Genomic DNA, 11,290 nt, shown 5'->3' on the forward strand with positions numbered 1-11,290 from the left:
TAGCAAGTCATTCCAAGTGAAAAGAGGTTACAACCACAAAAAGACAGAACATTTCGTTCTGAGTGGGAGGGAGACAGCTGGGCAAGGCCAATGGAAAGGCCCCCCAGCCAGGCTTGCTTTTAAAGTACTGCTACCATTTCCCAGCTATTTTAAGCATAACATCGCCAATTTTTTTCCCCCACTGACTACCTGTTTTCTCTGTGAAGGCGGCTTGAATGCAGCTGTGTGTGTCCTCTTTTTCTCAGGTGCTTGCTTTTTTCCTAGAGATTGGAAAGGAGTTAATGAGATTCTACCTAGAAGGTACGGAAGAAGCTGGGAAATAAAGCTGACAAATCAAGGACTTGATTGCCAAGGCGATCCTAATTGATTTAGCACCAGGGACATTTTCACACTTGCTCTCCATAACTCATCTGAGGTGGAGGGGAAGTAAGTGCCTTTGGAGAGACCTGTGGGCACTTTGGAGAGCAAAAAACGCTGCCTCCGGTGGTGGGTCAACCTCAGGAATTCCCTCTCTTTTCAAGAATAGCTTTCCCGGCTGGGCATGCTGGCTCACGCCTGTAATCCCTACACTTTGGGAGGCCGAGGCGGGTAGATCACTTGAGGTCAGGAGTTCGAGACCAGCCTGGCCAACGTGCTTGAAACTCCGTCTCTACTAAAAATACAAAAAATTAGTGGGGCATAGTGGTGCATGCCTGTAATCCCAGCTACTCAGAAGGCTGAGGCAGGAGAATCACTTGAGCCCAGGAGGCAGAGATTGCAGTGAGCCAAGACCCTGCCACTGTACTCCAGCCTGAGCAACAGAGCCAGACTCCGTCTCAAAAAACAAAACAAAACAAAAAAGAAAAGATTAGCTTCCCCCTTGGGTTTTCAGTGGTTGGTGTGAACTGTGGCACGTGGATGCCTGCAAGAGAGCAATCGAAGGTGGCAGTGCTGGGCTGGACTGAGGGGGCTGCCAGGAGGGCTATGTAGGAGGTGATCTTTTGAGCTTTTTAAGCTTCTTGTTCCTTCCTTCCACCCAAGAGATCAGAAACTCAGCTGGGGTGGAGGCTGTGGCCCCGGGGAAGCCCAGCTTTGGACAGGATGGGAGCTGGACATTCTCAGAAAGCTCAGTCCCTTGGTGGCTGCTTCCCCACATGGAAAAAGTGTTGACGGGACAGACTCTCAGCGTCTCTTCTGCCCAGCCTGGCTTAGCCAGCTTGCTCTCTGTCCCTGTCCTTTGTTCCCTGTCTCTGGCTCCTTCTCCTACAATGGCACAAGACAGAAAAGGCAAAGTGCTGAGGTATAGAGGGCAAGTGGCTCCGAATTAGGGTGAAAGTCCCAGGGAGAACTGCCATCTGTGGAGCAAGGACTGAGATTGTCTGAGAAGGATCCATGAGGAAGCTCTGTGGCCAGGCAATGGTGGCCCGAAGGGGATGGTCCTGAGCTGTGGCCTTGGGGAAAAAGGTCTGATGAGGGATGAGGGAACCAAGAGGGGACGATGGGCATAAAATCGAAGGGGGATAATCATAATAACTAACGCTTATTAAATCCTTACTATGTGCCAGATGCAAGGCTAAATGCTTACCTGAATAATCTCATTTAATCCTAGCATGTACCTTTATTATCACAATTTTGCACTTTGGTAGCGGACATTCTGGCTCAGAGAGGTTGAGTAATTTGTCCAAGTTCTGCAGCTAGTGAGGGGAGAATGAAGCCTAGAACTCAGATGCATCTGAGTTTAGAGCCACTCCCCTTAACCACCATACTAGGCAGCCTCCCCACTAACTACATAATGGCCTCAGAGGTTACCAAGGAAGGTGCTGGCAACTCCATCCCAAGCCCCGAGGGACCACTGCTTCCCAGATCCTAGAGAAAGACAGCAAGGATCTTGGGCAAATTCTAACCCTACCTTTGCATCCCATGGGGAAGAGCCCTTCCCTGCTATCACCCTCCTCCTGTCCCTGATGAAGCCATGTGCAGATCCATGTGCAGCTATGAGGTCACAGGATGGGGGCGGGACTTGAGGTTAGCTCAAGCATCTGGGCCAGGGTGGAGCAAATCAACACACAGAAGCAGGCTCTGCCTTCCTGACTCTTGCATCCCCAAGGGGTACTAGGCTTGAGCTTAGGAGAGTGTTCTAGATACTCCTGGCCAGCAGCAGGGCTGAGATGGGGCATCTTTTTCATCAGTTGTGCTGAAAGTCACCCCCAAAAAAAGGCCAGCATTGTTTTGGCACCTGTTGTGTCCCCCTGTGTGAAGCTTTCTGAAAGAGTTTGCACAGGAGGCTGTTTGGAGTGTTCTTTGGGGTTGCCTGGCCCTTCCCCTGGCAGGCAGGACCTTCTGTCCAGGGACAGTGATTCACCCAGCCCAGAATGCTCACATCTGCATGGGAGAACACTGCTCTGGATGGGCGCCGGGGCCCAAGAGGGAAAGGGAAGTGTGCAGGACTGACTGGGGGAAAGCCTGGGAGAGGTTTCAGCTATGGCAGCTGCTCGGGCTCTTCTACCTAAGCCTTGCCTCCTTCCCTTGGGCAGCGGGAGGTAGTGAGGAAAATCACAGGATCCTCGATGCTCGCCTAGCCCCTACTTGGAGGCTGCTCCTTCTGCAAGCAACATCCCCATGCCTCACTCCCCCAGTGAGCACTTGTCATTAAGGTAGCACCCTCTGATTTGGGCTGAGTTGCTCCTGTATCCCACCTTCCTCTTTATGCCCACTCCTCTGCCATGGCTCAGGGCTTAATCCTTTGTCCCTTGAATTGCTGTGACAGCCTCCGAACTTGCTCCACCCAGCAACCCATTCTCCTTGCTCTATCCAAGCCATCTTTCTAAGAGGCATATCTGATCGGTCAGTCCTCAAGTTAAAACCCTTCAGGGCCTTCCTTTCCCCCAGGGCACAAAGTAAACACCATAGCATGGCATTCAAGATTTTCACAGTTTGGCCCAAACTTGCTGTCAGAAAACGCAGGATAGATGCCAGAAAACGCAGGGATGCCCACTTAAATTTGCATTTTAGAAACACAACGTTTTAGTTCGAGTATGTCCCTTGCATTGTGTCCTGTATTTTTATTCATTACATCTGGAAATCCTACTCTAGCTGCATATCCATTTCCACTGGTAGAGCTTTAGTTCAGGTCTTATCATCGCTCTTTTAGATGAAGTCACTCACTTCCAAGCTGATTTCCTGGCTCTCTGTCTTCCAAACCATCCTGCCCTGTGCCCCAACATGTAGCTCAAGTCACTCTCTCACTGCCATCCAAGGATGCTCTGTACATTGCCCACTCCTGCCCAAATCCTCCTGTCCTTCCCCACACTCAGTTTCCTCCTCCATGAGACTTTCTCAACGTGTTCCGACAACAGTCGCTACCCTCTTTTCCCTGGACTCTTGACACACCCCACTGTTGCACCTAGCATTTGACTGCGTAATGTTTTGCATTGCAATCCGTCTATCTATGGAGTGTATCTTCTTGACTCAATTGCAAGCTCCAAGAGGGAAGGCACCATGCCTTACTCATCCTTTTTACTCTCTCCTCCCACTGTCACACAGTGGCGACCTCAGTAAATGTAGATTGGCTGATGAATGGGCTATTTTCTCCCTCACAAGACTGTGAACTCCTCAAGGGCAGTTTCTGGACAGAGTCTTATGCTGTTCTGTTTGTTTTAACGAACAATTTTTTGACCAGGATCTGTTCCAGATGTGGGATTATGGAGATGAAAGGCATAGTGCCTGCCCTCAAGGAAATTACCATGTAGCTGGGAAACCAATGTGTGTGAATATTTACAATGCAGTGTGAGATGTACAATGAATAAAGCATAGACAAGGTGAAAAATGCCTAAAGAGGTGAAAGTGGTAAGCAGAATTTGGGGAATGGGATGTTGAAGACATAGCAGAGGCAGTGCCTGCTTAGGGGGAAGGTAAGGACATTCCAGTCAGGGGAGCTGTAGGCATAAAGGCTTGGAAGCAGGAAAGAGTACATGGTGTGTGTTAGGGAACAATGGAAGTTCAAGAGCAGGGTCAGGTATGAAGGACCTTGAACAGCAGCGGGAAGTGTTCAGATGGAGAATGATGGGAAACTGTTCAAGGGTAACTGAGCAGACTTCTATATTGAGAGGCACTCAAAGTCAAACACAAAAGACCCCATATCATATGATTCCATTTATATGAAATACCCAGAAAATGCAACTCCATGGATACAGAAAGTAAATTAGTAGTTTTCTGAGGCTAGGGTTGAGAACAAGGGAGTGACTTCCAATGGGCACGAGGGACCTTTCTGGGGTGATGGAAATGTTTTAGCGTTGGAGTGTGGTGATGGTTACACAGCTCTGTGAATACACTCAAAGTAATTGAATTGTACACTTAAGAGGTATGAATTTTGTTTTGTTTTGTTTTGAGACAGAGTCTTGCTCTGTCACTCAGGCTGGAGTTCAGTGGCGCGATCTCAGCTAACTGCAACCTCTGCCTCCCGGGTTCAAGCGATTCTTCTGCCTCAGCCTCCCGAGTAGCTGGGACTACAGGCGTGCACCACCATGCCCAGCTAATTTTTGTATTTTTAGTAGAGATGGGGTTTCACCATGTTGGCCAGGCTGGTCTCGAGCTACCGACCTCAGGTGATCCACCTGCCTCAGCCTCCCAAAGTGTAGGGATTACAAGCCCTACACCATGCCAGGCCAAGAGGTATGAATTTGAATTGGATGGTATGTAAACTATACCTCAGTAAATCTATTTAAAATTAAGAGTCTGCCAGGTGTTGTGGCTCACGCCTGTAATCCTAGCACTTTGGGAGGCCGAGGTGGGAGGATTGCTTGAGGCCAGGATTTGGAGACCAGCCTGAACAACATAGCAAGACCCCATCTTAAAAAAAAAATAAGAGACCATCAAATCAGTCTGGCTGCAGTATGGGGAATGGATTGGAGTGAGGCTAACCTCAGTGTGGGGAGAGCAGTGAAATGACTTCTGCAATGGCCCAGGCAAGAGTTAGTGAGCTCTGGAACTAAGGTAGTGGCAGAGGGGCTGGAGAGGAGGGTTGAGAGTCAGAGGACATTTAGGAGGTTGAATCAATGAGAGTAGATAAATGGATTGAGGGGAGAGAATAAGTTAGACAGATGAAAGAGTCTAGGATGCCACTCTGGTTTCTGGCTTTGACAGGTGGGCAGATGGTGGTACTACCAAACCCCACAGGGCTCAGTACAGTGTCTAGCCCTCAGCACAAGTCTGTGGAATGAACACACGATTGAATGATTGAATGAAGTGTATTCATGTCCTCTCCTCCCTCTCTGTGGCTCCTTATCACCCATAGGGTAGACCTTTGAACCTCAGCATACTTGATTCCACCACTGCCCATTTAGAGGCATGGAGCAGCCTGGAGATTCTGCTGTTCCTGGGTTCAGCCCCAGGATACCATTATCTTATTTCTTTCCTTCTGGTCCAGAAACCGCCTGGTCACTCAAGAGATTCTTGGCCTGGGCGGAGGGATGGGAGGGAACTTGGGAGTGGATAGCCACCAAGGTTCTGAGGACCCTTGTCATGAGCTCAGGACCCTCTCTTATATCATTAGCCTGCATCCTCACCCAGACTGCCACTCATCCACAAACCCACCTCATCCTACCCAGCTATGCCTCCCATCAATTAGTGATGCGACTGGAATCCTCATTCCTAGGTTTCCCACTGTGGGCCTACATTTCCTTTGCAGTTCCCGCTGGAATCAGCCACCTGCCAATCCACCAGGCCAGCAGTGGGCCTCTCAGCATTCTCTTTGGACCACCTGCCTCAGAACCACATGGATAGGGAGATTTATTAAACACGCAGATGGCCACACTCCATGTCTGCTCCACTAAATCAGATTCTACAGGGCTGGGTAGAAGGAATGCATCAGTCCCGCATGTTTCAGAGGTTCCCTGGGTGGTCCTGATACCCAGTAATATGGGAGCTGCTGTGGTGGAGAGTGTAAGTGTGGATTAAGGGTGCATGTGCTCCTGCCACACTGCACACAGCCCCTGGGGGCCACTCAATGGACCCTTCCTTAGAATGCTCTCCCAACATGGGCATGCTCCCTCAATGCTCATCTTTCCACCAGGAAACACACTCCTGCTCTGCCACTAATCAGATCTTGCACAATCTTCTGCCCCTCCTCCTTCCCCCACTAAATTTCCACAGGACAATCAGTACTCAATTGCTTTTTCCTCTGTCCTTCCAGGCACTTATCACAGTCTGACTCGTGTGAGAATTGGTTGTTTACATGTGAGCTCGTGAAGAGCCTGGGCCAAGTCTGGGAAGACTAATGCTTTTAGACTAGCAGCATCTAGGACAGGGCCAGGCATACAGTAGGTGCCTGATAGATACTTAGGGAATTGAATCACTCATGAGAGGAGCAAGAGGCCTGAATAACATAAATCAAAGTCTTGTGCATTTGGCTTTAGGAGTGACTGCATTCCGGGTCTTTTCCAAGAACAGATTTGCCTGACAGTGAGGTTAATAGGTCATCACCACTGCTTTATAAGCCCCAGAGAGGTGGGAACAGAGTGACCTGCCAAGGCCATAGCAAGGTCAAGAGCTGTGGGGCTGGCACTGTGGACAGGCCAAGCTGGCAGGGAGCTTCATGCATTCATTCTTTCAACCAACTTTTAGTGAGTTCCTCCTATGTGCTAGGCACTGCACAAGGTACCAAAGATAAAGCCGTGAATAAAACAGACAAGGTTCCTGCCCTTACAGTGTTTACAGTTTAGAAGGGGAGATAGATGTTATTAATTTCAGAAAGAATTATAGTTATGATAAGTGCTGTAAAGGAAAAGAACAATGTGCACTGAATGTGCATATAATAGGAGGACTCGATTTAGCCTGACACGAGGGCAGTGGAGCTGTTCAAGGAGGGTTTACCCAAGGAAGTGGCCATAAACTGAGATCATAAGCATGCCTAGGAGTTAAACACAAAAACCTTGGAGGAGAGCATCCAGGCAGAGGGTGCAGCCATGGAAAGACCCAAGTCAGCTGCAAATTTGGCATGTGTCAGGAACATGCAAGAGGCTGATGCGGCTAGAACAGAGGGACTGAGGGAGTGAGAGGCAGGAGGTGAGACTACACAACTAGCTGGGGGCCAGGTCACTAGGGCTTTTGTGGGCCATGGTAAGGAGCTTGCATTTTACTAAAAGTGGAATGGGAAGGTTTTAAGCTGGGGAGTGGTACAATTTAACGCTGTGTGTGTGTGTGTAGGTGTGTGTGAATAGAGAGGGGAGTGTCAACATCTTGCCCAGGTTGGTCTTGAACCCCTGGGCTCAACCGATCCTCCCACCTTGGCCTCCCAAAGTGTTGGGATTACAGGCAGCGTGACCCCACCACACCTGACCTCATTTGTGTTTTAAAGAGAGTCCCTTGGCTGCTGTGTTGTTGGTCATGGATTGAGGTGGGGACAAGAGTGGAAGCAGAAGGACAAGTTTGGAGGTTATGATGGTGACCTGGCAGTGGGTGGTGGCTGTGGAGGCCTCCTGTGAAAGTTGAGCCCACACATTTTACAAATGAAGAAACTGAGGCCCAGAGAAGGGGAGTGACTTTACCAAGGTCACCCTGCTTCCTGGTCCTATTCTCCCATAAGAGGGAATTTAACAGAGAACCAAGCAGATAATTCTAAGTGAATTCTGGTAGGATGAATTCGTTGGTGCACTGTGGCAAATTTGGGGTTCTGGAAGCTGTTGCAGATGCTTAGAGTGGAAAGTAAATTAAGAATTCTGGTATTTGGGGTTCTCTGTTGTTCCAGTGCCTGGGGCTGCAGTGAGGCTGGCATCAGCCCCAAGTTACATATCCCCACCCTGTTTAGTCTGGCCATTGCTCAGACAGGAGCTAAGTGCTTGCAGGCCAGTTCCTTCCTGCCTCCATAGTATAAGGAAGTGTGAGCTGGGCAGGACTCCCAGTGCTCTCTTGGTCTCAGAGCAAGCAAGCAGAAACCTCATGCGGGGCCATGTGAGGTCAGGAGGGAGGGGTCCGAATACCTGAGCTTGGTTGAGATTGGCTGCTCTTTGACACACCACTTCTGTGGACGGCCAATCACAAGAGCCACAGTATCCTTGCTCACTTCTTCCCCTCCTTCACTTGTCCTTGCAAAAGCCACAGAACTTCCCGCCACAAAGTGAGCAGGGGAGAGAAGTTCCTTCCCTCCTCCACTCCATAACCGGTCCAAAAGGCCTTGGGGAGAGGCACCTTGCTTACAGCCAAAGGATGAATGCCCTGCTTCCCAAAGCTTGGAGAGAAGCATTTGCTCTTTGTGGGGGACCAGGTTGAGCACCAATTAGGGAGAAATGACACCAAATGGATTTTCAACCAAGGCTTTGCCAAAATAGCCTAGACTGTAGATAATTGTGAAAATAATCCTAGTCAGGAAAATTCCTCTTCTCCCAAGGCCTTATCTTCTTCTTCTTCTTTGTTTTTTTTTTCTCTGTTGCCCGGGCTGGAGTGCAGTGGCGCAATCTCAGTTCACTGCAACCTCCTTCTCCTGGGTTCAAGTGATTCTTCTGCCTCAGCCTCCAGGTAGATGGGATTACAGGCATGCGCCACCACGCCTGGATAGTTTTTGTATTTTTAGTAGAGACAGGGTTTCACTATGTTGGCTAGGCTGGTCTCGAACTCCTGACCTCAGGTGATCCACCTGCCTTGGCCTCCAAAAGTGCTGGGATTACAGGCATGAGCCACTGCGCCCGGCCGAGGCCTTACCTTCTAGGCGGCACTGGTGCCGTTACACTGCACCAGTCAAAGGGGCATTTGCCATCTCCCAAACCTGACCTATAGCAGGCTGGGCCTCAGTTCACTACCTACCCATCTGCTTTGGACAAGAGAAATACCATAGTGGAGTGAAAAGGGTCAGGAAACCGTTTCTAATCCTGGTTCTTTTGTTGGTGAGTTGGATAACCTCCCCTCTAGACCCATTTCTCCATCTAGAAACTGAGGGAGTTGGAGTAAATGCTCTCCAAGGTCACTTCCAGTTGTGACATGCAAAGGGTCAAATAGCTGCTATGCATTAGATACCAGGCTAAGCATTTTACATTTCTTATTTGATTTCATTCCCACAACAGCTCCTGTGAGTCAGATACTATTATGCCCCTCACCTCTCACATAGACGTCGCAGATGAGGAAATCATGGCTCAGGGAGGTTAAGTGACTTACCCCAAAACACACAGCTAGCAAAGGGCACAGCCAGGATGCGGATTCAGGTCTGTCTGATCCTGATTCCACACTCCACACTCATTAACTGCTTCCCTAAGCAGCAACTTTACAGGTTCTATGCCATCCAAATTGCCCTTAAAGCCCTGATAAGCTGGGACTGCCAAGGAGCGAAAATGACCCTTCCTCCCTGTTTCACAGTTTGAAGGTGGGACTGACATGTTGGTAGAAGCAGGTGGGCACTTGGATCCTATGAGCTGAATTACCAAGAGCGATCGCCTGGCGATAATCTACTGCCATGCTGGGGTGCCCTGGGCATCCGGGGAGAAGCAGGAGGGCACTGCCAGCTGGGAACGTTGGCAGGAAGAATGCCTCACAATCCCCTAACTTATGATCTGAAATGTCTGACAAATCCTGTACAGGTTCTCAGTGCTATACTCTAATGATATTAATGAAGGCAGGGGAGCCTAGTGAAAATTTAATAGACCAGTATAAAAAGTTTCACAGACTCTGTCTGCAGAAGTTCTTTTGAAGGTCCACACAAAGCCACAGAGCTGCTTGGAACTCTCCATCCAAGGAAATTATTAACCTTCCTCATTTCTGGAGGACGATGCAATCTCTTTATTAAATGCCTAAATTGAAGGGAGAGGACACAGTGCAGTTGGGGGTTTTCCACCATAATTCATCTGAGGCTCTCGGTCAGGGAAATTTGAGCCTGGGGCCCACTCAGCTTCCTGACCACTTCCTGCTCCCAGGCTTCCTCCAACCCTGTGTCTTTAATAAGTTCAGGTTGTCTAGAGTTCAGCTCTAGTTAACCCTTTGAAGTCTGGGTGGATAAATCACAGCTCAAGTCCACGAACCACTTAATGTGCATCAAAGATTGACCAATGAAGCAATTGTTCCAGCATGGAAATTTCTATTGTAAGGATCAAATGAGATAATGTATGAGCGTGAAAGCACTGTGTGATCTCTGAAGCACAGTGAATTACTTTTATTATTATTTTTCTCAATAGGATGGCTTGCTTATCTACAAGATAGATACCTGTTCTCATTGGAGGCCTTCAAACAAATCAAACTGGTACTTGTTGAGCCTGGAATTACTAAATTTTCCTTGTATTTCCTCCTGTGTTCTTCAAGCTACTTGACACCTGTTTAAGTAGCTTCTGATGGTCCTGTAGCCTTGTGTACTTGGAGTCAGTGTAATTTGCTTATTGTTTCTCCTCAACAAAGAATGTGAAAGGCAGACGATGCAGGAGCATTTCCAGCAACATAAGGCTTGGTTTTGTCCATTGCTCCCCATACCCCAACCCTGGGATGTGAGTGCTCAAGGGGCAGGCTTGTGTTCTGAGTGCCTGAGGGCCCTTCGTGTGCACTGGGATGAATCAGTCACAGACAAAGACAGGTCAGCTAGGAAAGAGAGCTAGTTAATGTTCTGAAAACACCCTCTTTCAGAAACGCCTGAAGTGACTCTCATATATGGCTGGAGGGAAATAAAATTGATACAATATCTCACAAAATTATATATGCATTTACCTTTTGACTCACCAATCCCATTTTTAGGAATTTACCCTGAAGATACACCTCCAACAATATGGAAATGCATATGTGCAAGAATTTTCATTGCAGTGTCGTTTATGATTACAAAATATTAGAAACTACCTAAATGTCCATACATAGAAAAGTGGTTGAATAGATTATGGCATAGCCACAGAGTGAAGTATTATGCAGCTGTGAAAAATAATGCAGATGCTGTCTATGCACTGATATGGAGTGATTTCCAGGATATATTGTTAAGTAAAAGAAAAGCCACGTGCAAAAACAAAGAAACAAATAAACAACAACAACAAAACAAACATGTCTGTAGTACGCTTCCTTTTGTGTAAGAAGGAAGGGGAAGTAAAAAAAATACAGAGTGGCATCTGTTCATTTGTACAAAAAGAGACACAAGAAGAATAAACCAGAAACTGATGGAATTGGTTACCTACAGGAGTGGATAGGAATGGCTCATAATAGGTGCTTAATAAGCATTTCCTGATGGTGAATTACAGGACACAACAAAGGGAATGATTGACTTAGCCTGGGAGCATCAGGAAAGCTTTCTATTGCTATCTTGAAAGATGAGTGTGTGGTCATCAGGTTTGCTGACCATAATGGGGAGATTGTTTCAGGC

At 48.1% G+C, this 11,290-nt stretch overlaps 1 annotated feature.

Moving 5' to 3' along the window:
* Positions 76–195: a silencer, noted in NCBI's record as "silent region_20931". NCBI's record gives its function as "represses an Ori minimal core promoter by ATAC-STARR-seq in GM12878 lymphoblastoid cells {active_cell/tissue: GM12878}" and the evidence as "EXISTENCE:reporter gene assay evidence [ECO:0000049][PMID:35858748]".

This window comes from Homo sapiens, chromosome X (assembly GCF_000001405.40).
Source record: "Homo sapiens chromosome X, GRCh38.p14 Primary Assembly".
NCBI lineage: Eukaryota > Metazoa > Chordata > Mammalia > Primates > Hominidae > Homo > Homo sapiens.